Source organism: Homo sapiens, chromosome 6 (assembly GCF_000001405.40).
Source record: "Homo sapiens chromosome 6, GRCh38.p14 Primary Assembly".
Classification (NCBI taxonomy): domain Eukaryota; kingdom Metazoa; phylum Chordata; class Mammalia; order Primates; family Hominidae; genus Homo; species Homo sapiens.
The window spans coordinates 52,217,789-52,245,755 of record NC_000006.12 but is presented as its reverse complement, the minus strand read 5'-3'; the positions used below and the strand labels follow the sequence as shown (position 1 = coordinate 52,245,755).

At 41.6% G+C, this 27,967-nt stretch overlaps 1 protein-coding gene and 1 long non-coding RNA gene across 3 annotated transcripts, besides 3 other annotated features; one reads left to right on the top strand and one right to left on the bottom strand.

Moving 5' to 3' along the window:
* Positions 67-9,075, top strand: IL17F (interleukin 17F). 2 transcript variants are annotated; one of them, XM_011514276.1, is made up of 4 exons: positions 67-133; positions 1,257-1,359; positions 6,806-7,026; positions 8,588-9,075. In XM_011514276.1, the coding sequence occupies exons 2-4, from the start codon at positions 1,327-1,329 to the stop codon at positions 8,823-8,825; spliced, it is 492 nt and encodes a 163-aa protein (XP_011512578.1). In that variant the 5' UTR covers positions 67-133; positions 1,257-1,326; the 3' UTR covers positions 8,826-9,075. The 2 variants fall into 2 exon arrangements, with proteins under 2 accessions (XP_011512578.1, NP_443104.1); NM_052872.4 differs by lacking the exon at positions 67-133 and having other exon boundaries at positions 1,256-1,359.
* Positions 6,933-8,670, bottom strand: LOC124901328 (uncharacterized). The gene is made up of 3 exons (XR_007059607.1): positions 8,559-8,670; positions 7,162-7,299; positions 6,933-7,014 (listed from the first exon to the last, which is right to left on the bottom strand). It is a non-coding gene; the product is annotated as an uncharacterized LOC124901328 (long non-coding RNA).
* Positions 11,492-11,551: an enhancer, noted in NCBI's record as "active region_24669". NCBI's record gives its function as "activates an Ori minimal core promoter by ATAC-STARR-seq in GM12878 lymphoblastoid cells {active_cell/tissue: GM12878}" and the evidence as "EXISTENCE:reporter gene assay evidence [ECO:0000049][PMID:35858748]".
* Positions 17,722-17,891: an enhancer, noted in NCBI's record as "active region_24668". NCBI's record gives its function as "activates an Ori minimal core promoter by ATAC-STARR-seq in GM12878 lymphoblastoid cells {active_cell/tissue: GM12878}" and the evidence as "EXISTENCE:reporter gene assay evidence [ECO:0000049][PMID:35858748]".
* Positions 17,902-18,001: an enhancer, noted in NCBI's record as "active region_24667". NCBI's record gives its function as "activates an Ori minimal core promoter by ATAC-STARR-seq in GM12878 lymphoblastoid cells {active_cell/tissue: GM12878}" and the evidence as "EXISTENCE:reporter gene assay evidence [ECO:0000049][PMID:35858748]".

The window sequence follows — 27,967 nt, the reverse complement described above, 5'->3', positions numbered from 1 at the left end:
TTTATCCAATCACATTTGTTTACAGTTTTCCATGTTGTAATCATGTCTGCCCAATGAAGACTCCATAAAAGGCCCAAGAGGATGGGATACAAAGAGCCTTTGGACCGCTGAACTTGTGGAAGTTCTAAGAAAGGTAAACAGTAACTCATCCCTGTGCTGGGAGGGTGGTGCACCCCAGCTCCATGGGAAAGAACACTTCTGTGCTTGTGACCCTTTCAAACCTTGCCCTGTGTACCTTTTCATCTGGCTGTTGACTTGTATCCTTAAAAATATCCTTTAGAATATACTGGTAAATATAAATTAGTGTTCCCTAAGTTTTGTGAGCTGTTCTAACAAATTAATCAAGCCTAATCAAACTCAAGCGGTTTGTGGGAACCTGAACTTGAGGCCAGTCAGTCAGAAGTCCCAGAGGCTTGGACCTGTGATTGGTGCTTAAAGTGGGAGCAGTTTTGTGGGACTGAGCCTTCAGCCTGTGGGATCTGACTCTACCTACCTGGAGATAGCGTCAGAATTGAATTGGATTAGAAGATGCTTAGCTGGCGTTGGATGCAGAATTGATTGCTTGCTGGTTGATGGAGATAAATGCCCACATACATGGTCATGGAAATCTTTTGTGTTGCTGGTTGTGGTGTGAGAGCAGAGGAAAACAGTTTGTTTTATCAACACAATGAATAGTGATTATTTATTAAGCACCAGTAGGAGTCTAACCATGGGGTTAAAAAATAATTAGTTCAGGGAGATAACAAAACTACCAGGGTATATCATTTCTGAATTTTTCACTTATGTCATTCATTTCTTTAGTTTTGTTTTCCCATTCATAAAATGGAGGTAAAGATAGTTTAGTACCAAGGCTCCTCTAAGGATGAGTTTTCTCCCATTTAAATCACGATTCATATTGCGTGACTGGAAAGTAGAACATATGGTCCGTGACAAGGGTGTTGGCAATTTGTGGAAGAACAAAAAAGATTTGACAACAATTTCTAACTTGGTTCATCTCTGTAGTAAATTAAAAATTTTGCTCTGATTTGTGGGCAATGGGGGTGGAAGTAGGGTAGAAGGAAAGAAAAATTTGGTCCTTTTCCTGTCATCCCTTTCTTTAGGGTCCCCCTTTTGTTCCCCTTCGGGAAATGGAATAAAAAAAAAAACCCCTGCATTCGTCAGTAACTCCGGGTCAACCACAACTTAAAGACAGTAAGCAGGTCAATCGAAACAGGGGCAATGATTGCTATAAAACTAACAGGTACTCTCATTGATAGAACACAGGCATACACAGGAAGATACATTCACAGAAAGAGCTTCCTGCACAAAGTAAGCCACCAGCGCAACATGACAGTGAAGACCCTGCATGGCCCAGCCATGGTGAGTAGCAGCAATCATTCTGGTTTAAGGACTGTCATGCCTAGGATTTCAGAAAACAGAATCCTAAGGAATTAGGTTTGATTGGGGTCTTTTTGGAATTACTTCTTAAAAAACAGAGATGACTTTAATTTTGACTCCTGTCTGGTGGAGAAAAAGAAAAAAATAACTAGAAAAGTTATAATGGCATAAAAATGCAGCTCCTGGCCAGGCGTGGTGGCTCATGCCTGTAATCCCAGCACTTTAGGAGGCCAAGGCGGGCGGGTCACATGAGTTCAGGAGTTCGAGACCAGCCTGACCAACATAGCGAAACCCGGTCTCTACTAAAAATACAGAAATTAGGTCGAGCCTGGTGGCTCACGCCTGTAATCCCAGCACTTTGAGAGGCTGAGGTGGGTGGATCACTTGAGGTCAGGGGTTTGAGACCAGCCTGACTAACTTGAAACCCTGTCTCTACTAAAAATACAAAAATTAGCTGGGCATGGGTCAGTTGCCTGTAATCCCAGCTACTCGGGAGGCTGAGGCAGGAGAATGGCTTGAACCTGGGAGGCGGAGGTTGCAATGAGCCAAGATCACGCCACTGCACTCCATCCTGGGTGACATAGCGAGACTCTGTCTCAAAGAAAAAAAAATGCAGCTCCTCACCCAATGGCTTTTGCCCAGGTGGTGTTAGTGTGTGCCCAGGTGGTGTTAGTGTGTGCAGTCCTTGGCATCACAGACAACTAGCATGTTCTTTCCTGTGGCCATCCATTATAGAGTCAGGTTGGCCTGAAATTCTTATCTCATGGTGGGAGCTTGGCCAGCACTTTAGGGATTATGTACATATACATTTTAACCAAGGAAACTGGGGCCTCAAGAGGTTTAATGATTCCCCTGAGATTACAGGAGTGCCCTGGATGGAAGAAATGAAATCACCCAGTGTTGACTTTGGACAGCTCCTAGAGAAGGGAAATTTCCCATGTCTCTGATTGCTATTTATTTATTTTGTACCATCTCATTCTTCTTGGAGGAAAGAGAGATGTTAATGCAATGAAAATCTAGCCCCAGCAGGTCTGGAATCTTGCCTGACATTAGTCAGATAAGGCCTGAGAAGAATTTACTATAGAGGTACATGAAAACAGGGGTTAGGAAATCCCGCATCATATTATTGGCTTAGATAATTTCCTTTTTTTCTCCTTTTACAAGCCATACAACTTAAAAGAGCTTGAATATCATAAAAGGTTCATGGCATATAGCAATGGTATGTTTTATTTTATATTTATGTGTTATTTTAAAGATTACATGTAGCTCAGCAAAGTGCCATATTTAGGGGCATAGGCTTTGATGTCAGGCAGACCTGGCTCCACTGCTTGCTAAATGTAGGATTTTTGGGTAAGTTATTTATCTTCTCTGTGCCTCCGTTTCCTCAACTGTATGGTGGGGATAACAATGGCATCTTTCTCATGGCATTTATTGGGAGGATTAATTAATATCTTTGAGAATAAATGAGTCTATACTCTGTACTGGCAGATTTGTGTATGCTTAATTTTCAGTTAATTTGGCCATTCTAATAAACAACGACTGATAATGATAGAGAAAGCATTCAGTAAGTGTTAACTGTTCATATTAATATTGTTATTATTGTCCTGGAAATTCTGATCAATCCACTGAAGTAGATGGGAATACTTTCCACTTTATACAGATGAACAAAAGCTCAATTAAGCTATTTATTTAACATTGCTGGATACTGTAAGCACAAGAACTGGTACACCAATCTAAGCTTTCTGTCTCCACATACAGTATGCTTTTCTTTGGTTCAGAGGCAAGATTTGTGAATTTAAAGCCATTGCATCCAAGCAATTCTGTTGGGTAGCTTTGTGCTCCATAGCTATTTCTAATTCTAGTTTCCTTAAAGAAATCTGTTGGGTTGTCAGCAAGAAACATAACAGTGCAAGGAGCATTGGAATAGGATTAGAAGTTGAGAGGTGCAGGCAGATAGGACATCTTCAATAAGTAGTTGAGGCAAATTCTCATGGACCTAGAGGTTGGCCAGGTGCATGCTTACATGTGTCCACACATTGCTGGTGAGTATAGAGGATGGATGTTCAGGTTGCTCAGGTGAGCTCACATTAGAGTGAGGTGCAAAGCTAGGCTGAGAAGGTTGTTGTCCTGTTACAGCTCACCTTCACCTGGTGCTTTCCCTTGCCCCTGTCCCCTATTATACAGATTGAGAGCGATATCTATTCATCTGCTTTATAGGTGGCATATAAGAGTTCAAGTCATGCTCTGGATTTCTCTGAGAGGTGCTGTTTAAATCATTCTTAAGAACCAGCAACAGCCTGGTTCAGAGCCCCTGCTCTGTATTACATAACCACTAAAATCTACAGTTTCAGATCAAAAGCTTTGTGGAGCAAATTGGAGTATTTGCAGACATCATCTGATTTCCTGATAACGAGCTATGTGACCTACAACACTTATGCACATCTAGTACAGCTGTCACATTACCTAAAACACTTAGCTCTTCTAATGAGACAAAACTAAGATTAATGTTGGTAATAATAAAAATGACCTTCAATGACAATAGCACTGACTACTGACACCTAGGTTTGAGTCCCCAGACTGGTACTCATAGGCTGGTGAACCCAATCAAGTTATTTATTCCCTCTGGGACAGAACTCTTTCACCTGTCTAATTGGGATAATTAATACTAGCTCTGATTACCTCACCAGGTAGTTGTGAAAATCCAGTGTTTAAAGAGATGTAAAAGAATTTTCTAATATACTCTAAGAATATATAAGCAAATGTAATAATGACTTGTTAGAAGCATTGTAATTATTGCTAAGTCATATAACTCCAATGTATGTATTTAAAAGTTTTCATAATGAAAATTAATAGTGATTCAGTGAGTATGACACAGAAGAGGAAAGAGAAAACACAAAGGAGGAATTTACTTAAGAACCCTAAATATGTGATTGGTAGGCTTGGGAAGTTATCTAAGACCCTCTAATATAAGTTGGCATCTTTTAAAAAAAAAGTCATAGCAGGCCAGGCGCGGTAGCTCAGGCCTGTAATCCCAGCATTTTGGGAGGCCGAGGTGGGCAGATCACTTGAGGTCAGGAGTTCAAGACCAGCCTGACCACATGATGAAACCCTATATCTACTAAAAATACAAAAAATTATCAGGTGTGGTGGCGCACGTATGTAATCCCAGCTACTCGGAAGGCTGAGGCAGGAGAATCGCTTGAACCTGGGAGGCGGAGATTGCAGTAAACCAAGATTGTGCCACTGTACTCCAGCCTGGGCGACAGAGTGAGACTCCATCAAAACAAACAAACAAACAAACAAACAAACAAACGCCATAGCAGTTTGTCAAGACAAGGTATATGAGTGTAAATTCCACATCTGTCTAGTCCACTGTGTAGCACAATATAGAGTTAGCAAGAGTCGCCAGTATTGGATACTTATCATATGCTGCCAGTGTTCTTCATAATTTATATGGATCATCTCATTTAATCTTCACATTTTTTTTTTTTTTGAGGAAACAGAGTCATCGCTTCTAAGAGTCCTGGAATTGAGTTACAGACCCTGGACTTCTGACTCTGAAGCCCATGCCCTGAGCTACCACACTGTAAAGTCAAGAGCTAGTTGTTGAATGAATGAACGATTGTGGGGGATGAAAGTTGATGATTGCTGATTATCTAAAGGCAAATCAGCCTCATTCTGACTCTTCTGGGTCAATCTTGCTTTCAACTTCTTTTTAGTGTCAGCTTCCTCAGTATGGCAAATGGACACTATGACCTTTTTGTTTACTCTTATTGTTTTTTGTCTCTAGTATCTGCAAAATATGAAAAGGAAGGCCTTTGAAACCAACATGTCTAATCACCTTCCCTACCTTAACTCATGGAAGGTGTGAGCCTGAACAACGCTAAGCCTAGAGAATAAAAGCAACTTATTTTCAGCTCTTTTTTTTTTTTTTTTTTTTCCAAGCAGGAGTCTCGCACTGTCGCCCAGGCTGGAGTGCAGTGGTGCAATTTCGGCTCACTGCAACCTCCACCTCCTAGGTTCAAAGGATTCTCCTGCCTCAGCCTCCCGAGTAGCTGGGATTGCAGGCGTGCACCACCACGCCTGGCTAATTTTTATATTTTTAGTAGAGACGAGGTTTCACCATGTTGGCCAGGCTGGTCCTGAACTCCTGACTTCAGGTGATCCACCCACCTCGGCTTCCCAAAATGCTGGGATTACAGGCGTGAGCCACTGCACCCGGCCTTCAGCTCTTCTTCTGTATTATGTTGAGAGTTGGTGATGGGCCTTGCTCATCCCCAGTAAGGGTCAGTGGCAATGGTGGGTGAGCAAAGCATGGTTGTGACAAAGGGAATCTGGCAAGATTTGTAGCTTTTCTTTTCATTAGGTCTTCAGTGCACTTTCATTCTTTGCGCATTCCTATAACACCAGATAAACTGGCATTTCAACGTAAGTATAAAAAAAATGCTCCAGAGCTAAAGAGAAATAGTTTCCATATTCTCTCTTGTGGTGCATCATTAGTGCCCCGGTTTCTTTCAATTAGCATGGATAATTGGAACTTTGCTATCGTTGGTTTTGCGTAATGTTTTTCTTAATGCAGTGAGCTTAACTATATAGTTCAATTTAGCTGTATCATTTTGTTCATTCATTCACTCATTCACTCATTCATTCCAAAAGTGTTTATGGAAAATGTGTAATATGCAGGAACTTACAATCTAATGGGTGTAGATCTGACAGGAACACAAATACTACATTTCTAGACAATTAAAAAATGCTGCTTGAGTGCTAGATGATCAAAGCTTTATAATTTAAGGATAATAAACATGCTTCTGATTGAACCATTTTAGGGACTGTTCTTAGAGGAGATCACATCTGAGCTGGGCCTTAATGGAAGGGTAGGATTTTGACAGACAGAGTATTCTAGGCAGTGTATTCTAGGTAGAGGGGTGGCTCCGAAGAAGGATTTTGTGGGAGATTCATGGGATATCAAGTTGGAAATAAAAACAAGAGCTATCGTTTATTAAGCCTCTATTTTTCTTATACAGATTTATAGGTGTTTTATATAGAACATTCTATTTAATCTCATTAGTAGTCTCATAAAGTGAGCATTATTATCCAGTTGGAAGGAAGAGAAACTAGAGGCTCAGCAAGGAAGCCAGGATAGGATTTTAACTCAATCTCAGACCCTTGCATCTTTCTGTCTCACTGTTTGGGAGCTTTTAGACTATGGAGGGCTTCAGTTACTAGCTAGGCTACTGAGTTTAGTTCTCAGTTTGGCACCTTGATACCTTTAGGTGTGAGTGTTCCCATTTCCAGGTGAGGAACTGAGGTGCAAAGAGAAGCCCTGATCCCATAAAAGGACAGGAATGCTGAGTTCCGCCAGACCATGCATCTCTTGCTAGTAGGTGAGGCGAGTCTCTAACTGATTGCAGCGTCTTCTATTTTCCAGGTCAAGTACTTGCTGCTGTCGATATTGGGGCTTGCCTTTCTGAGTGAGGCGGCAGCTCGGAAAATCCCCAAAGTAGGACATACTTTTTTCCAAAAGCCTGAGAGTTGCCCGCCTGTGCCAGGAGGTAGTATGAAGCTTGACATTGGCATCATCAATGAAAACCAGCGCGTTTCCATGTCACGTAACATCGAGAGCCGCTCCACCTCCCCCTGGAATTACACGTAAGTGCAAATGAGACTGATTTTCACATTCTTTGGAAAAATATGTTAATTCATTCTAATCATAAAGTAGAAAATGTAGAATACATAGAAAAAATAAAAGGGAAAATCCTCTTAACAATGAAAATTTCACTTTACCTGGGAGCTCATATCTTTCTTGTTTTGGACTAGGTTCACCTTTGTGGTTGATGGTCCTAATATTTTGCTTCCACGTTCTCATAGACTTTGTGCCTTTTTCTGCTTCATGTAGTTCTAGGATAGAATTCACAAATTTTCCTGTGTTGGAAGAGAGGGTTCTTTAAAGCAGATTGCATAATTATCTCCTCATGAGGATAAATGGGAAACAGAAAAGTCGGTTTAAGGAGATTCACTCAGATTAGACATTATCATTTAAGGAGTGGGAATGAGTGGAGGAGAAAGGCCAGTCTGGGAAATGGGATGTTAGGTGGAGACCTTCAGGGTACAGTCTTGTAATTTGGCATTAAGATACAGGTTCTTGGAAGACCAAGCACTCCCTCATACTCTCCAAATGTAAGTATCAAAGTAGATTCCAGGGACAATTGAAGTGCTTCTGGGGTTGTCACATAGCTTCTCATGTGAGTGTGTTATGAGAAAACCTTGGGACGGTAGTGCCCCCTGCCTCGAACTGGGAAGATATGGAGAGATCAAAGAATGACTTGGACAAGTCCAGCTTAGCGAGTGGATGAGTTTATTAAGACTTACTATGGGGCGCCCTAGGGCCACAGCAGGACAGATCTAGAGATCCGCTCTGCCTCCCATCTCTAAGCTGCTCTTAAGCGAATTTTCTGGCTCTTTGCCTACTGTGTGTGTCCAATGGGACTGTTTTCCTTGGTAGGTTCTCAGATACTCTCTGAGATGTTTGGGTTCTCGGTGGCCTGCTCCTTGGCTGTGCATGGTGGCCTTGGCTCACTGCCCGTCCTTCAGGGTTCAGACAGTGGACACACACCCTCAAGTAACCTGGTGGGGGTCCTGTCACACTACAAGTGGAATATGTACAATGGCAAGCTGGCAGGATAAATGTTGTGGTCTTTATGCCTCCAGGCAGAGGGGCCTATTAAAGGAGAAATGGAGAGAAGGTCTGAGATTCACAGACCTCTGGGGCTGTGGCTTTCCTTTCCAAGCAGCAGGCTCTGTAGACCGACTAGTGATGGAAGACTGACTAGTGACGTTCAATCTCCAGGCAGAGAATAAAGAATTGTAATAATAATAATAATAATGCCAATGAAAGATCTAATGTTAATTGAATGCTAACATTTGTACAGTGGGGTATTTTATATGTACTTGTATCACTGAGTATTCTCAACAGTTGCATGAGAAAATGGTATATGAAAATCCCCATCTTATAGTTGAGGAAACTGAGGCTTAGAAAGGTAAGCCACTGCCAGAGGCTGGTGTATGCTTCCAGGCTGTGTGGCTCCAGAACCTGTGCCACAGCCCTGCAGAACTGCCTCCCTGCAGGTGAACACTCAGTGCTGTGGGGCTCTCATTCGCTGTCTTCCTCCCCCATGCCTCACCATTGTGCTTTGGCTTGCTCCTCCTGCAGTGTCACTTGGGACCCCAACCGGTACCCCTCGGAAGTTGTACAGGCCCAGTGTAGGAACTTGGGCTGCATCAATGCTCAAGGAAAGGAAGACATCTCCATGAATTCCGTTCCCATCCAGCAAGAGACCCTGGTCGTCCGGAGGAAGCACCAAGGCTGCTCTGTTTCTTTCCAGTTGGAGAAGGTGCTGGTGACTGTTGGCTGCACCTGCGTCACCCCTGTCATCCACCATGTGCAGTAAGAGGTGCATATCCACTCAGCTGAAGAAGCTGTAGAAATGCCACTCCTTACCCAGTGCTCTGCAACAAGTCCTGTCTGACCCCCAATTCCCTCCACTTCACAGGACTCTTAATAAGACCTGCACGGATGGAAACAGAAAATATTCACAATGTATGTGTGTATGTACTACACTTTATATTTGATATCTAAAATGTTAGGAGAAAAATTAATATATTCAGTGCTAATATAATAAAGTATTAATAATTTAAAAATACTTCAGGTGTTTGTTTGCATTCCCAGCTTGTACTCACAGACTGTGTAGCCCTACACATTTTGGAATTCTATATGCCTATCATTTGTTTTTCATATTTCCTCATCAGAGCACCAGTGTTAGAGTTGTTTTGTTATTAATGATGCTTGGAGGTTGGTTACATAGAGAGTTAAGGAAAATGGTGCAAACAGAACTCAGGTTCCCTAGTGACACTTTCCTGCTTCATTATCCCAACTACATTATTTTACAAAGCAAGTACTTCTTGGCCACTGTGCTAGCCAGTGGAGACACAAAGAAAAGTAAGAAATGCATATGGAAGGGCCATGTGTTAATAGAGGCCATCCAAAGAGCCCCTGGTCATAAGGGCCATGGTGGCCACTTTGTTTCCTCCTCTGACTTCTGGGCCCTTTAGGGGTCACTGTTTGTCTTTTGTCCATCTCTTTAACATCTTAGGGGCACGCAAGCTTCCAGATTTTGATCTCCATGCCACTCTGAGGAAACTCAGAGGTCTTCTGGTGCTTCTGTTGCACACCACATTTTCTCCTTTACTTCCAGCATGCCACTAACTCAGAGCACGTCGGCAATGCTGCTGCCTCCCAGGTACCAGAGAGAAAGTGGGCTATAAGTTCTCACTCCCACCTAGGACTTGGCTTGAGGATGGGCAGTCAGCAGGAGCCTGGCTCCCATTTTGACCTGTTTAGTCTGTTGGTGGGTGTGGAATGGGAGTGGTTGGGGAGGCGAACTCTTTCTCTATCTCTTTGCTCCAGAATCTTGTGCTTAGGATATAAATATTGACTTTTGTACTTAAAATGTTCAGGTTCTTAACATGTAAAATACCTTCCTCTCATAGCTATCAGCTTCACAATTTTGCTCTGAATTTCACAAGTTCATTGTGATGCTCACATCTGTGTGAAGAAAGTTTTCTGTTCGTTTGGGCAGTAATAGCTGTACCCTAGGGGTAGTGCATGTAAAAAGCCCTCTGTCTGAGTAGTGAGGGAAGCATAAAGGAAATTTCAGGGGGAAAAGAATTGCACCACTGAGTGTATCAAGATATTATCTCAGCCCAGTGTGGTGGCTCATGCCTGTAATCCCAACACTTTGGGAGGCCAAGGAGGGAGGATTGCTTGAGACCAGGAGTTCAAGAGCAGTCTAATCAACACAGATCCCATCTCTCTCTCTCTTTACACACACACACACGCACACACACACAATTAGCCAGGCATGGTGGCACACACCTGTAGTCCTAGCTACTTGGGAGACTGAGATGGGAGGATCGCTTGAACTAGAAGTTGGAGGCTGCAGTGAGCTATGATCTCATCATTGCACTCCAGCCTCGGTGACAGTAAGACTTTGCCTCAAAAAAAGAAAGACATTATTTCACATTTCATTACACATGTACACATGTACTTTCAAGGCAGTGTGCCAAATACTGTAATCAAGGTATGAAATGTTAGGAAGATATAGGAAATTCCTGGAAAGTTTCAGAAACAAGATGACTTTTGCACTGAGACGAATATGAATTGATTTGGAGGAAGATGTGGGAAAGGCATTCCAAGCAAATGTAACAGCATGAGCAAAGGCAAGAGATACAAAAAAACCTGGTATGCTGGGGGACTGAAAGTAGTTCTATTTGCTCAGGATAGTGTGGACATGGGGACGCGGTGGGGAACACATAACAAATATTTCTTTAATGAATAAATGAATGAATTCACTTGGTAGTAGACAAAGAACAGTGGGCAAATGGGCCACTCATGGATGGTTTTGTAAGCTCCGTTACAGGAACAACAGGAGTATCGCTATATTTCACAAGATAACTTTGGTGATAGAGTGCAAAAGAGATCAGAAATCTGAAGGCCAGTGAGAAGATCGGAGAGAAAGCAATTTCACTCCGACAGCACACTCACATTTTTAGAGCTGGATGAGCCCCTGTAGATCACCTGGTCAATCTTTCTCATTTGCAAATGTGGCCCACAGGAATTAGGCGACTTGCTCAAGGTCACTTGGTAGTTAGTAGCAGAAACAGGTTCGTTGACTCCAAGTTCATGACTTTGATAAGGGTTTTGCAGCAATGCTGTAGTGTGTGCAATAAAGACCCATTTCAGTTATTTATGTGGCCTCAGGCTGGCCCTGGGAGAGAGTGCAGAAATAACCCCGCACCGCACATCTCCAAAGACATCGTATGTGGTGCTCTGGAGCCTGGGGCCCTGAGTCACAAAGCTTCTCTCTGTGGCTTCTGCACTGAGGGTTGGCTGTCCTTCAGGAAACTGCACGTCTTCTCCTGCTCACAAGGTGGCGAACTGTGTCCAGTTGTTCCCAGATTCCTCAGTATACGTTGAAAGGAAAGAAATGACTGTTTTATGGGTAATTTGTTTTATTTGGTGACTGGAAGCCACTGCTGAGGCAGAGTGCGTAGGCTGTGTTCTTTTGCTCTGCGCTCAGCTTTCTGGGAGAGCCTTTGTTTTTCCTGTAGGAGAAGTGGCTGAAGTTGAGCAGTTTAGGTGTTCAAATACAACGTTGCTTCATCATGTGTGGAGAGAGAAACCTTTCTTTCCACGTGGAAACTTGAAAGCATATAGTCTTTTCTTTCAACATCCAGTTCTTTTTGATGAATGCTTGGCTAAGGGGAAAAAAACCAACATATTCTTTCTCTGTCTCTGTTTCTCTCTTCCTTTCCCGTTCCCTACCTCCCCAAATTTGGATAAAAGTCACCTATATATATAAAGCTCTGTGTGATAAATTTTACTTGTAAGTTACAGTGAGAAAAATAGTAAGTTGATTTTTCTTCCCCCACTCCCTTCCCTAAAAGGAGAGGTAGAAAATATGCATTTAATATGTAGACAGCTTTTGGCTTTGAATCCTGGTTCTACCATTTTCTGCTTGTATGAATTTAGTCAATTTTGTCCTTCTGAGATTCAGCTTCTTCATACGTTAAATGCAATATAATATCTATTTTAAAGAGCTCTGTGTAAAGCAATCGAAATTAAAAAAAGGTAAATTACTTAATACAGTAACCAGGTAATAGTAGGCTTGGTAACTGGTAGTCATTATTTCAAGAGGCACAGGAGGACTTAGGTTTCCCATTTTGCTTGGCCCAAAGAAACTCAGAACCCATTTTTATGTCTAGATACCACAGTTTGCTGGCAGATTAGGCATTCATAAAAGAAAAAAAAACACAGTTATATTGTTCCTCATGGTTTTCAAATTTGCTTTCTTTATTTAATTTCTATACATATAATAATATAGTATAGTATATATAGTGCAGGTATATATTAGTATATAGATCCTGTGTATAAATCAATTTTCCATCTGTGAAAAGTTAAGAAAGCTGTAGATTCAATTCATTAAAAAATTCCCCCTGGACCCAGATGTCTATCGTATCCCACTCCGCTGGTATAAATTGGAAGAAAAATATTTTTAGCTCAATTAGTTTTAGGAGTGATACACGTTCAGCTAGATAACTGTGTGCTTTAAAAATTGTGACCTATTTCTGGCTCCCTGCCAGTTCAGTGGGTACTGATTTTGAGAATTTTGTTCAGTAGTGAAGAAGAACATATTTCAAAACTAAGATAAAAAATGATCACGATTTGAGCATCAAGATGTTCTTGCTGGCAAAATGTTGATTTCTTCCCTTAAATGGTACAGATGTCATGGCAATATCAGAGAGCAAGGCATAATGACTTAGTGTGTGGACGCTGGAGCCAGATGCCGGGTTAAAATATCAGTTCTGGACCTTACTAGCTGTACTAGTTGCTAATGATTTGGGTCTTGTTACCTAGCCTCTCTGTGTCTCTTTTTCCTCATATGTAAAATAGAGATGATAATAGCGCCTACTTCATAAAGTCATTGAGAGAATAGAATAATAATCTATAAGGTACTTGGAATAGTTACTGACATGGTAGGTGTATTGTTTAGTGTATTATTAAGAAAGATAAAATCCATCTATTATTCTACCACAATAATAGATCACATTAATGTTTTTCTTTCTCTTCTGCTCATTTGCCTCACAGATATATATTTTATAAGGCTGTAACTGTAAGATACATGCAATTTGTATTTGGTAATTTTTAACTTCACATTATACTCTATGTATTTCCAATGTTTCCATAAAGTATTCACAATGATTTTTAGTAGCTGTGTAATTCTTTCAAGTTGATGAACCAGAATTTATTTAGTTATTCTTTTATTTTTGGACCTTTAGCTCCAAAAATAAAAGAATAATTATTAACTTTAAAAAGTTAAATAATGCTTGTAACTGTTTTAATTACTTTTTAAAATTATAAACTATGTGATACAAACAGAAGAGTTTATGTCTTTGCATATGGATAGTTGCCTTGAATATCAAAATTCTGTACGCGTGTGTGTGTTTTCATATCTATGGCCTACCTTGGGGCAAATTAGTTAATTTCTCTGAGTCTTAGTTTCCTCAACTATAAAGCGGGGTGATAATGTCTGTCTCATAGGATTGTAAAGTGGATTAAAAGAAATAATACATGTAAAGCATTTAGGGCAGTTCCCAGTTCCAACGAGCTGTTTTAGTCTTAGTGGTTATGCAGAGCCTGTGAATGAATGTTTCCACCTTTAAATTCTTGTTTTGAAAGCCAAAGAAATCAATGCATTAGACAAAAATGAGTTTATGAGTTGTTCTGGGGTTGTGGCTGTGAACATATTCGGAGCCTTCTGATTCCACTGGCTTACCTCTGTGGTTTTGTTACGTGCTATCTATAGGTGACACACCGCAGCCCTTTGTATGGCCTGAGGTGAGGACCAGACTTTGTTTATAGTGGTGACAACACCAGAAGCCCTGTAACCATTTCCCACAACCACATTCTCATGGCTTTGACAGAAATCAGCTCTGGGAGGCACTGCTTGGATGGGGCGTGCAGGCTGAACGTTGGAGTGGGATCTAAGTGCGACTGTCCCCCTTGTAAGGGACACCATGCTCATGGAAAAGTGCTTAGTATTCTGAAGATACTAATCCATCAGGCAAGAGTTCCCCAGGGTCCCAGGCATCTGCTGATCTCACATTCCTGGGCTTCTCAACCTCTAAGGGAAAAAACACTCAGACTTCCCACAGACCACTTGTCAAAAGCCTGTTTGTCTTCTGCGGTCACCTCAAACCCCAAGTGGGATCCATTAAGAAAGCAAGGTTTGCTTCTGCCTTTTGATATTGAGTGTGTCTACATATGGGATGCCAAACTTCTGGCTGCTGTATTTGAAAGTACAGAAAAAATAGAATTAAATATAAAAGAAAACAGATCTTTCTGTTCGGATCTGTGTTGCTGAGCTTTGTGAGATCTATTAAGAACTATGATTTCGGTTTAAGAATTGGAATGAATTGTGGTTCTTGCCATATGGAAATGAGTTTTGCTGGGTGAAGCAATGATATAATTACTTCTACTGTACAGTAGATGAGTACCAAGGGATTCTCCATGATTCTCATTAGTACTAGAATGCTTTGTGATAAAAGCTAACACTTGCTCACTGGTTACAACAGAAAACACACTTCTAACTTCACATGCATGCACTTAATTAATCATCATCATAACTCTGTGAGGTAGGAAATATTAAATAGGCCCATTATACATATGAGAAAATTGTGGCACAGATTGAGATAGTATCTTTCCTAAGGTTATAATAGTGATATGGTGGTAGACTTCTGCATTTCATCACCAAGCTCCATTGCCTTTTGTGGGAGATCTGCCACAAATCACTTCCCTTTGTGAGAGGCTCTAAACCATGGCATCTTTTCTGAGGATCACTTTTTCTGTGAATGGTCAGGGAGAGCAAGCTACAATATTTGCTTAGTCATACAATTACGACATTTTAAGCTTTGTGGAAAGCTCATTAGAAAGCTAACCAATAGATCCTTGGGTTGGCCAGCTTCCATCAATATCTCAAATTATAATGGCCCTCATCTTGCTTGCCTATGGGAAGTCCAGTCCTTTACCAAGCCCTTGTCCCCAGGGTTTTCTGGGAAGCTTTAAGCAACATCCTCATTTCCTCTAAACTTTTCCTGAAATTGTTCACCACTTTGACCAACTGTCTGTTTTTAGACATCAATTCCTGCCCCACTCAGCCACCTGCAGATAGAGGCCTGGTAAACTCTGTCAGGCTCCATGATTTCCAAGCCTAGGTCATAAAAGTCTATGCAGCTTCCATCTTATTCCCTTCAAATGTTCACTCTTGGGGAGCCAACTGCGATGCAAGAAGTCCAACTACATTTTCCCTCCAGGAAAGGTCACTTGTAGGTGCTCTGGTTGGCAGTCTCACAGGAGCTCCCAGCCAATAGCCAGTATCCACTGCCAGCTATGTGAAGAGTAAGGACATCCAGCCTAGCTGAGACTTCAGTCGATGAAACTCCAGCCAATATCTGAATGCAACATCATGAGTAGGTCGAGCTATATCATCTGTGGATTCCAGTGCAAAACTTAAAGTGTGGGGCCTATTGTTACAAAAATTAAGACTGTCAAACAGAACATTAAAGCAACTGTGGGGCCCTTTTAAGTGCAGGGCCCTGTGCTACTGCTACACAAACTACATGCCTATGATGCTTGCCTGCTCACGAGATCTGAAGAGAATTGCCCAGCTGAACTCTTCCTGAATTTTTGTTATCAAAATAAAATGGCTTTGGTTTTACATAATATAATTTTGGGATGATTTATTACATGGCACTAGTAATCACATCAGGTTCCAAGAACAATTATTTTAGACTGCCATAGCCCAATATTATTACATTTTCTTTTCTTTCTTTTTGTTTTAGAGACAAAGTCTTGCCCTATTGCCCAGGCTGGAATGCAGTGGCCCAATCACAGCTCACAGCAGCCTTGAGCTCCTTGGCTCTAGCAATCTTCCTGCTTCAGCCTGAGTAGATAGGACAGATAGGACTACAGGTGTGCACCACCACAATGGGTTGATTATTTGTTTTTGTAGAGACAAAATCTCACTATTTGGCCTAGGCTGGTCTTGAACTCCTGGCCTTGTACCTTCTTCCTAGCTTGGCCTCCTAAAGTGTTGGGATTACAGGCATGAGCCACCACACCTGGCCTACATTTTCTAAATGTTCACTTAGCTTGATATTTGTTTCTAAGGAAGCTGGATTATATCTAACCCAATTCTATTTTTTGTTTTATCATCCAGCAAGAGTTCAAAGTTGTGCCTTTATATCTTTGCTGCAATTTTGGCTATCTCAACAACTAAAATGAAAAGCATGAAAATACACACCTCTATATAATAATCAGCAACAGTACACAACAACTCAGTATATATCATTAGTTAGAAAGACACTTTTCTACAAAGGGCATAGTCTGAAGAAATGCAACTCTGCCTACAGTATATATGACCTTTTACATCACCTTTTACAAAGAGCAATTTAGTCCCCGGGAACCATGGCTTTTCAAGTGTCTGTTTACATCTGCATAATTAAGGGGCCCACATACATGCATTTTTCAGAAAAAAATAAGGAGCTTCAAGACATATTTTATGCAAGGCAGGAAAATGCTTGCCTCCTGGAAATGCAGATTTTCAGATTCTGCTATTTGCCCCAAGATACTGAATGAAAAACAAGCCCACATTTCATAATTTATTCTGAAGTAAAATAGAGCTGAGCCTCTGGTTTCAGTTATTTATCAGCACTCTGTATTAACAAGCATTGCTGTGTTAGAATAGAATATGGTGATAAATTTATGTTAGAATGTGGTGATGAATTGATATTCATAATGACAACCTTAGATACTGTTCTCTACATAATCAAGGGAATGTTCTGTTGTGTTACAGCCCCATGTGTATCTGATTTTCTTATTTGAAAATTTTTTGGCCGGGCATGGTGGCTCAAGCCTGTAATCTCAGCACTTTGGGAGGCTGAGGTGGGCGGATCATGAGATCAGGAGATCGAGACCATCCCGGCTAACACGGTGAAACCCCGTCTCTACTAAAAATACAAAAAGTTAGCCAGGCGTGGTGGCAGGCGCCTGTAGTCCCAGCTACTGGGGAGGCTGAGGCAGGAGAATGGCGTGAACCCAGGAGGCAGAGCTTGCAGTGAGCTGAGATCATCACGCCACTGCCCCTCCAGCCTGGGCGACAGAGCGAGACTCCGTCTCAAAAGAAAAAAAAAAAAAAATTCTTTCCTGCATGATGTGCTAGGCTGAATAACATTCACCAAAGATATTTATGTCCTAGTCTTTGGAACCTGGGAATATTCCCTTATACGGCCAGAGAGACTTTGCAGATGTAATTAATCAAGGATTTTGAGATGGGGAGATTATTCTGAATTATGCGGGTGGGCCCTGAATGTAATCACTGGACTCTGCATGAGAGGGAGGCAGGGGAGATTTGACTACAGAGACATAAGGCAATGTGAGGATGGAAACAGGGTGCTACAGAGGTGGCTTCGAAGATGGAGGAAGGGACTACAAACCAAGGAATGCAAAGACTGCAGCTTTGGAAGCTGGAAAAGGCAAACCATAATTCTCTCCTAGAGCCTCCAGAGGTGAAAAGTCTGGCTGACACTTTGATTTTGGCCCAGTGAACTGTAAGAGAAATGTGTGCTGTTTTAAGCCAAAAACTTTGTGGTAATTTGTTAAAGTAGCAATAGAAAACTAATAGTATGCTTACGTGTATCTGAGTGCTTTCTTCTTCTTTGAAAAATCTTTCTTGCATGGGTAACTCTTCATCAAGTTGGATATTTGATTAGCCTAAGCATTCTGTTTCCAGGCTGGAAGAGCATTCACTCTAGCAATTATTAGGTATGATCTACCCATTTGTGATCTCTATGTCAATGTCTCCTTCTGCAAAGCCATAATTCAGGTTCATTGTGTCTAGGCCCCAATTCAATTCAATTAGTCTATTACAGAAAATTTGCTTTCTCCAGTGGCCAGCCCAGCTAAACAATGTGTTTGATGACAGCAGAAGATGCAGGGTGGGAAATGTCTCTGACTCACCCATGTGGTGGATTCTGAAAGCAAGCAGCAAGGATGCTGTTTCGGTTTGACTGCTGCATGCCCTGTGTGGGAGACAATGAAGAGCACTATGGGGCCCAAAGTTGGCTTCTCACCATCTGACCCAAACAGACAACTTCTTACAGTAACCCCAAGGGGAGGAAGTCAGTGTTGGTGGAGTGCTCCTTCCACAAACTTAAACTGAGATGTCTGACCTACATTTCTAGCCTCCAAAATGACCCTCATTTTACTAGTAGTGGTTCAAGGTTAAATGCATAAAAGTTAACATTGCATGACGATCATATTTAATATAAAGATTATTTGAAATCCGTTGTCTTCACCAAACTTCTTGAATTTGATACATGAAAGGGCAGTAGGGTTGAGCGGGTGACCATTTGTCTTTGTGGGTGTGCTGTTTCATGTCTTTAGGAAAACTTGCCTCCTCCACTTCCAGTGCCTCCGCTCTTTGTTCCTATCCCTGTATGGCTCCAGGAATGTCAGCTATGGCTGCAACTCAAGCTTAGCAAAACAGACCATTTTTCTACGTGATGTAATTTATGAGGCACTGGGAGGAGACTCTGCCTCCAAAATACATTTTTGTGCGCTGCTGAAATACTCTCTTTAAGACATCACTTTTGAGGGCTTTTTGAAAAATATGCACTTCTAGAAGGTTGACACATTAACCCGGTAAGGTAGATTCCATTTTCTAGATATCCTCTGAAAACCTTCTTTTTAAACATGCAGCACCATGTTCCCCACTGGGGAGTGAAAGATCAATATGGCACCATTCTTTCTGTTATGATGCTCATGGTTGAGAAGGGAGACAGAAAAAAAGTTAGCAAATTCAACCCCTGTCAGCTGGGGTCATCATGTCTATTGAAATTTAGTCAATAATTGGTTCAAACCACCCAGTGGGCCTTCCCTCCATACCTGTGGGGATTCCTTAGGGAATCTTAGCCTTCCTTTAGGGCGCTGGCTTCCTAAGGTGCTGCAGTGTTGATCTTCTGCACTCGCGGCCCACCTCCTGCAAACGGCGCTGCTCTGAGCTGACCTAGACGCTTTGCCTTGTGGGAAAAGCACACCCGGCATTTGCGTGTGCGCTAGATGTCACCAGGGATGTAGAGTGACAGCGGGATCTACTCAGCAGCACTATGGTGCAATTAACTCCACACTTAATAGTAGGTATTCCTGTTCTTAAACATTCTTTGGCCACCATTGGCATTGAGGAATCGTCAGAGGCTAACACTTCTCCATGGGCTCCTTGCCTGTTTCCTGGTAGTTCTGCCCCTGACTCCATCTTTCCTCAGCTCTCACCTTGTCCCCCTTCCTGCTTACCACCTTCCATTTGCAGTATGGTTTAGCTTTTTGTTTCTCTGTTGTCTGCTAATGCAGGTCCTGGAGACCTTATCCCTTGCACCAAATACTGCCTTTCCAAGTATTTTGCAAACATTTCTACTCAGGGGAAAAATAACGCCACTCCCTGAGGGCAAAAGCAATTAAGTTGGTTGTGGTTTTAAATAGAAATTTCTTTTTTTTTTTAACATGTCTACAAAAACAATTCCAATACGGTGTGACAAATATAACAATATAAATAGATATGAAGTACAGAGTCAAGATGAAAGAAACTGACATTGAGTTGTTTTTCGATAGAGGGTTGGTCCTATATGGGTTGCCAAAGAAGATGACATTGGTGTTCCAACTAAAGGATGATTGGGCTGGGTGTGGTGCCTCACACCTGTAATCCTAGCACTTTGGGAGGCCAAGGCAGGTGGATCACTTGAGGCTGGGAATCTGAGACCAGCCTGGCCAACATGGTGAAACACTATCTCTACTAAAAATACAAAAATTAGCTGACTGTGGTGGCTGGCACCTGTAATCCCAGCTACTCGGGAGGCCGAGGCATGAGAATCACTTGAAACCGGGAGGCGAAGATTGCAGTGAGCTGAGATCATGCCACTGCCCTCCAGCCTGGGTGACGAGCGAGACTCTGTTTCAAAATAAATAAATAAGTAAGTAACAAATAATTACATTAAATAAAGGACGAATAGAAGTTTACTGGGAAGACTGGGAAGCAGAAGGGTTTTTGGCTGGAAAGCACAGTGTGTGCATGGGCACGGTGGCACAGAATGGCATCCCATGCTCAGAAAATATGAACCGTTGGCAAAGCAGAAACATGAAGTACAGTTTCTGGGGCAGGGGGGCAGAAGAACGTGTGACCAAAGAGATAAACGGGGACCAAAATATGAAGGGATTTAAGGCCTTTAAGAAATTTGAATTTTCTTCTCCAAATAATGGAGAGCTATTTCAAGGTTTTAGGCAAGGGAGTGAAATGATCGATTTTGGGTTTTAGGGAGCTCCCTCTGGTAACAGGGTGAGATCGGATCAGATTTGATCAGGTTGGTGTTGTGTGGAGATGCTATGATGGTTGAATGTTATTGTTAAAACTCAAGCAAGAAATAATGAAGTCCTGAAACGTCAGTGGGTCTGGAGGATAGGGAAATATTGAATCAGTAGGATTTGGTAACTGTTCATCTCTGATTGGGGTTGGGGGTGGTGAGAGGCTAAGGAAACAGAGGAGTTTGGGAAAACTTTCCAGGGTCTGATGGGGCCAATGGGTGGATGCCTCTGCTGGAAACCAAAATGACACTATTTAAAGACAAGCATTTTTCAGGTAGAGAAGACAATGAGTTTAGATGTTAAATATGATGCCTATGGGTAATTGGATATATTGATCCAGTTTCACAGGAAGAAGCTGAAGGTAAAGTCCAGAAATAGAAATTGTGGAGTCCTTGAGATAGTTGGTGATTCAGTCTATATAACCTGGGATTCAGAAACACAAACCAGGGAAAGATGGTATATTAGGCATGCACACGTTAATGTGAATTAGTTTTATGAGGTTCTTTTTCCTTACTGCCAACTGAGATTATTTCACCATAAAAGGGAATTTTCTTTTGGGAAAAAAATTAGAGAGACCTCGGATGTATAGTCCTTGATTTTGATGATGAAAGGTACCATGGAGTCACTGGGTGTCTAGAGGATGAGGAAAAGAGAGACAGAAAGAAGAGGGTAGGACACCAAATAACATCTTTCTCAACTTCACAACTTTACCTGTGGCTTCTCTTGGGCAAGAAACCCCCCCAAATAATCACTGGTATCTACAAGGAAGTCTTCATAAGTTACGATTCTTTTATTATTTATTCTCTCACTTATTCCTCTGGTTTTTCTGCAAGTTTCCAGGTGTACAGGCAATGCCAGTTTGGAAAACTACTGTTCTGGAAAGCCTCGGATAAGATTCTCATGGGAGTGTGAAGGATAAATTATTTAGCAAGAGCTGAGCCCTCCCATCCATCAGGAGTTATTGCTGTTTCCAGTGTCTAGTGGGCACCTTGCAAGGTTTTGTCACCTATTCAACTTTCCTAGGATTTTCTCAGAGATATGTCAGCATACAGTAACCATTTTTGTTGGAGGAACTCTGTACTAAGGCCACCGGTTTCTGTGACAGCATCAAGACACTGGAACTACCTAGAGCCTCAGCCAACAAGGGAGAAGAAAGTGCTCTCTTTTCATTGGGAGTTCATGGCTGCGCTGCACCTGGGCACATTCCCCACCATATAAGCAAAGTTTCTTTGCAGTAGGAGGGGATGAGGCTAATACTCAGAGGCAGAGGCAAGCAGAGATGAGAGATGGATGTAGACAGTGAGAGTCCTGGTAGGTGGAGAGTTCAGTTCTAGTTCCTGGGCCTTAGGTCCTGTAGCCCCTTCCCCTTCCCAGTCACTTGGGCCAATATGTGTCATTTTGCTAAAGCTGATTTGAAGACAACTCCTTGGGGGATATTTTCTTGGGGGAAGGAAAAAGGGGTCTCAGAGGAGACCAAGATGGAAGTAAATGACCAGAAGAGTGAAATGTGGGGGAAACCAAGAGTGGAGACGTTCTTCAAAAAATGATTAGAAGATGATTTTGCAGAGATCAAGTTTCATTGCTTTATTGTCATAGAAGCAAAATACAAAGGCTTAGGAGGCAAGGAGAGGTGAGGAAGTAGAAGTGACAGGTTCTGACTGCTTGGTCATCGCATCTGACTGTGAGAGATGCAATCGTGGCTGTAGCAGTTACCATAAGGATTGGGAATGATGCTCTACGACAAAACACTGAGACTCAGCCATCGAAAGAAACAAGTATTTTCTTTGGTTTTGGTAAAGGACCCAGCTGTCCTCATCTGCACAATGAGGTGACCATGGCAATGTGAGCACTGAGGATGTAGCTCTCAAGAGTATCCTGAGGCCTGAGAAGACTTAGCCTGTGCACCCTTTCACAGCAGCATAGCCTAAAAGAATTGGGGCAGACAGGTCACCCTTGGTCCTCACATTTTGAAGTGTGCTGCTGCTTGATGTTGTGGGAGAGGTTGCTAAACAAAGACAAGGAGCATTATTCCTCGAGTCACTTTTCTCAAAACATTGTTGTACACATTTGTGCTGGATAAAGAGTTCTTGGGATGTTTAACTTCTAGGCATCTTAGATGGACAAATCTCTTTTACAGCAGTAGGGTACCACAGAGAAGAGGAGATGAAAGATGCCAAGAAGAAAATGAGATGAAAGATACCAAGGCTAAAGGGAATCACGCATGGTTTCAAGGAGGTGGCAGAGGGTGAGAGGGCAGACGTGGGGATGAGTGCTTCTGAGGCAGAAAGAAGGGTTGTAACTGAGGAAAAGATGCACGTTGGAGGCCTTCATCTCAGAAAGGTGCTCTGGGGAGCAAGAAGAGAATGATGAGGGGTTGTGGGTGGATGTTAAGGTCTGGAAGAGAATGAAAAAATTGGCAGAATAGACATAGGGATTATTGGGGCAGATGTTCCTAAACATACTCAAGCAACAGAACACCCAGGAATCATAGCCTTTTTGTGAGTTGCTGAGAGATATTGATGAATTTAATACATATCTCCTTAACAGGAGTTACCTTAGCCTTATAATTTGTCTGTCTTATGTTTACATTGTTTAGACATGCTATGTTTACATGCAATAAAAACAATATGCAGTCAATCACATGCATTTGTCCATTAAAAATCACTCTGTAAGCTGAGACACAATACATGTCTCTAAAATTTGTCCTTTAATTGAAACTGATCTGAATAGAGATGAGAAAGTGGAAGAATAGTGTAGCTGAGTCATGATTATTCTTAAGATGGATCAACTTAATTTTCTTTTTCTTTCTTTTTTTTGAGATAGGGGCTCATTTGGTCACCCAGGATGGAGTGCAGTGGTGCAACATAGCTCACTGTAACTTTGAACTCCTGAGCTCAAGTGATTCTGCCACTTAAGCCTCCCAAGTAGTTGGGGTTACAGAAGTGTGTCACCACACCTGGCTAATTTTTTAAACAAATATTTTTTAGATACGGTGGGGGGATCTTGCTTTGTTGTTTAGGTTGGTCTTGAACCCCTGGCCTCAAGCAATTCTCCTGTCTCAGCCTCCCAAAGCACTGGGACCCATTTTCTAATATGTGCTGCTTACATAAACATGAGTGATTAAGAGAATCGATTCTTTAAGTCACATCTGAGTACTTAGCACATGTATGGACACCTGTCTTACCTTAGTTCTCTTAGTTGTAAAATGCTCAAAGCCCATTTCAAGGCGTTTAAGGAGTAATCCAAAATGAACGCTTAGAAATGTCATGTATGTGGAACAACAATTTCCTTGTAGGACTTCCCTCCCTCCCTCCCTTCCTCCATCCCTCCCTCCCTCCCTCCCGTCTTCCTTCTTTCCCTTTTTCAACTGTTCTTTCTTATTTTGTTTAGAACTTATTTAGACTTGTTGATCTAGCAGTGTTTGAAGAGATTTAGAAAAATTGCAACTACAGTAACAATTCAGGAGTATTCCAGATCGAGTTATGAATGACTGTGGGATATTTTGCTTTTTCCAGAAGTGGAGAAAAGTTTGTCCTGTTTAATTTTTCTTTAGCCCTCATCTTGAGGCTGATGCTGAGGGTAGACAAAGAGTCTTAGAAGGAAGGAGAAGAGTCACCAAAGAGAATGGCTTTGGAGTGGTTTTCTCTCTGATTGTGCTTAATTCACCCATATTATTATTCAAGATGAGGATTTCTACTTGGCTGCAGTGAAGAAAGCATATGCACCTTTTTTTCCTTTTTTCTGTCTGGAACTGAGAACAGGGTTATAAGATTATTGTGGTGAGCATCACTATGGTGAGCCATCAGTTGATCAGGAGGGCTGTAGACAGTTTGGTTAACCACAGAGCTTGCTGAGAGAGAAGGTGGACCGAGGCGAGGGAGGCAGGGGCTTGTGGGAAGCAACTGGATGTGACACAGAGATAAAGTCTAAGTTATGTGGGACAGTGAAGACATGTGAATAATTTACCCAACAACAACATCTATTCAACGGCAAAATGTTGAAACCAGATACTGTACTATGTACTCTGTGTGTCATTTAAGAAATTTTGGCAAATAATCTGAAATCCTCAGTTAAAGAAATGTTAAATGAATGCTTAAGGCCAGTTGCAGATATTAAACTTTCGATAGAAAGAAAACATAAAATTTATAAAATAAATGGTAGCCTACAAATATTTTTCTTTTTCTTTTTTGGAACTTGTGCTTGGGCAAAATTGTATGCTCATCACTGATAAGTGAAATGGCAGACTGAATGTATGGTTCAAATATAAATACAATTTTTTTTTTTTTACAACAGAGCTTTTGCTAAAATTTGGGCAGCAGGTTGTCTGAGATTGTATTCTCTAGTAATTAGCTCTTTCACTTTAGTATAATGCTTTTAAGATTCATTCATGTCATTGTGTGCTAGTGGTTTGTTCTTTTTCATTGTTGAATATACCCCATTGTATGGATATACTAAAATTGATTTATTCATACACTAGTTAATGGGCATTTGGGTTGTCTTAGTCTGTTTTCTGTTGCCATCACAGAACATCACAGACTGGGTAATTTATAAAGAAAATAAATTTATTTCTTTCAGTTCTAGAGGCTGGGAAGTCTAAGGTTGAGAGGTTGTATCTAGTGAGGGCCTTGTCGCATCATAACGTGGTGGGGGCATCCCATGGGGAGAGGACGAGAGTGTGTACCAGCTCAAGTTTCTCTTCTTCTTCTTCATTTTATAAAACAACTTTTACAGACACTTAATTTAAACATTTCTCATGTTATGAAAACCATATTGGAAGCATATTTTTGTGGCAGTATAATATTTCAGTTTAAAAAAATTAACACATAATTATACGTATTTATAGGGTACAATGTGCATTTCACACCTAGTCCCCAAAACTTATGTCCTTCTCACATGCAAAGTACATTCACTTTATCCCTATAGTTCCAAATTTCATAACCTGTTCCAGCACCAAGTCAAAAGTCCAAACCCAAAGTCCAAAGTCATCTCAAATTCAAGGCAAACCCCTTCCAGATGTGAGCCTGTGAAATCAAACACATTATCTACTTCCGAAATATAATGGTGGAAGAGGCATGAGTAAATATTTCCATTCCAAAAGGGAGAGACAGACAGGAAAAAACGGGTAATGGGCCCCAAGCAAGTCTGAAACCCCAAAAGAGCAGACACTAAATCTCAAGACTGTAGAATAATCTTTTACTCTATGTGTTGCCTCCTGGACATACTGGGGTTGGGAATGAACCCCAAAAACCTCAAGAAGTCCTCTTCCCTTAGCTTTCTTGGGCTCAGCTCACACTTCAGCCCTTTCATGCTAGAGTCTCATACCTGCAACTCTCCCTGACTGTTACTGCACACTGGTGGTCCTATATTTCTGGGGTCTCAGTGGCAGTCCCACACCCATGGCTTCACTAGGCATTATCCTAGAGGGGCCTCTTTGTGGCAGCCTCATCCCTGTGGCAAGTTTCTGCCTGAGACCCCAGGCTGTGTGTAAACTCTTTGAAATCCAGGTAGAGGCTGCCATACCTCCATAGCTCTTGCATTCTGGGCATGTGCAGAATTAGCACCATGTTCATGCCACTAAGGCTTATCACTTGTGCCCTTCAGAGCTATGGCAGGAGCTGTACTTGGGCCTGCTTGAGACATGGCTAGGGAGGCTGTGGATTCCTGCACTGTAATGCTTGGAGCAAAGACCAAAGGGGGCTCTGGGCAGTAAGCCCATGTAGGGTGCCCTGGGCCTGTCCCTTGAAACCATTCTGCCTTCCTAGGCCCCTGGGCTTTTGATGGAAGGGGAAGCCTTGAAGATCTCTGAAATATCTTCAGGGCCTTTCTTCCATTGTCTTGGTGATTCCTTCTATCTGTGCTAATCTCCTTAGAAAATGATATCTGGGTCATATCCTTGATTTTGTCTCCTGAACTACTTTTTTTTTTTTTTTTTTTTTAACTCTTTACAGGGTCAGGGTAAGAGTTTTCCAAACTTTCTGCCTTGCTTCCCTTTTGAGGATAAATTCCATCTTTAAATCATTTTCCCCTCTTGTAGCTTAATGTGAGCTGTAAAAGTAGTCATGCAGCAGCTTGAATGCTTTGATGGTTAGATGTTTCTTCCACTAGGTATTCTAATTCATTGCTGTTAGGTTCTGTATTCCAAAAATCCCTTGGGCATGGACACAATCCAACCAAATTCTTTTCCAGTTTATAATAAGAATGGCCTTTACTTTGGTTTCCAATATCTTGTTGCTCATTTTCATCTCAGACATCATCAGAAGAGCCTTTACTGTTTATATTTCTATCAGAATACTAGTCATGATCACCTAAATAATCTCTAAGAACTTCCAGACTTCCCCTCATCTTCTTGTCCTCTGAGTCCCTACAGAATTGCCCTTAATGCTCTGTTCTTGGCCACTGAGGCTTTTTCTAGCCTGCTCCTCCAAATTCTTCCAGCCTTTGCCCAATATCTAGTTCTAAAGCCAAGTCTACATTTTCCAGGTATTGTTATAGCAACGACTTGACTCTTGGTATACAGTTTCTTGTCTTAGTCTGTTTTCTGTTGCTACAGCAGAATATCACAGACCAGGTAATTTGTAAAGAAAAGAAATGTATTTCTTGAATTTTTGGAGGCTAGGAAGTCCTGGGTTGAGGGGCTGCATCTGGTGAGGGCCTTCTTGCTGCATCATAACCTGGAGGAGGACACTTGACGAGAGGCCAAGAACAGGCTTGTCAACTCAGGTCTCTCGTCCTCTTCTTATAAAGCCACCAGTACCATCATGGGGGCCCCATCCTGATGATCTTATCTAATGCTAGTTACCTCTCTAAGGCTACCTCTTAAAGACTTGGAGGATTTGATGCCTCCAATCAACATACGAATTTGGGAATTAAGCTTCCAACACATTAAATTTGGGGAACATACTCAAACCACAGTAGATCGTTTACAATTTTTGGCTGTTATGGCTAACATTTTACATATAGGTCTTGTGTTAACTTATGTTTAATTTCTCTTGGATAAATACTTATGGGTAGGATCACTGGGGCTTATGGTAAGGGTACATTTAATTGCCAAATTATTTTCCAAAGTGACTTATCAAAAGACAAAATTACAACACATGTAATTTAAAAATTTTTGTTGGCTTTTATTTGTGATTCTAGATTGAGGAACATCTCATTCTATGAAATAGAGTGAGTACTATGATGAGCTGAGCGAGGGGATTAGCTTTATAGGTAGAAAAGGGCTGAAGAGAATAGAAACAGAGAACGAAAAGTGGATTGGTCATTTCAAAGTTATTTTCCTGCTAGGGTTAAAACAGAGGGGACTTTCTTATTTTGTTGACTCAGGTTGATTGGAATCTCCTTTTTTTTTTTTTTTTTTTTTAAGGAAAACTGGCCCATTTCAAAGTTCAGCTTAATTACGTGGAACTTAGCACATGTGACTCCATTCTGGTTTGGACTGGTCTGTTGGGGCCTACTGCAGGAGCCTAGTCTAAAACAACAGCCTCCCATAAACTTTAACAGACTGTATCACTTTGCATTTCTGCCAGAAATGTATGAGGGTTCTAGTTCCTCTCATATCCTTGC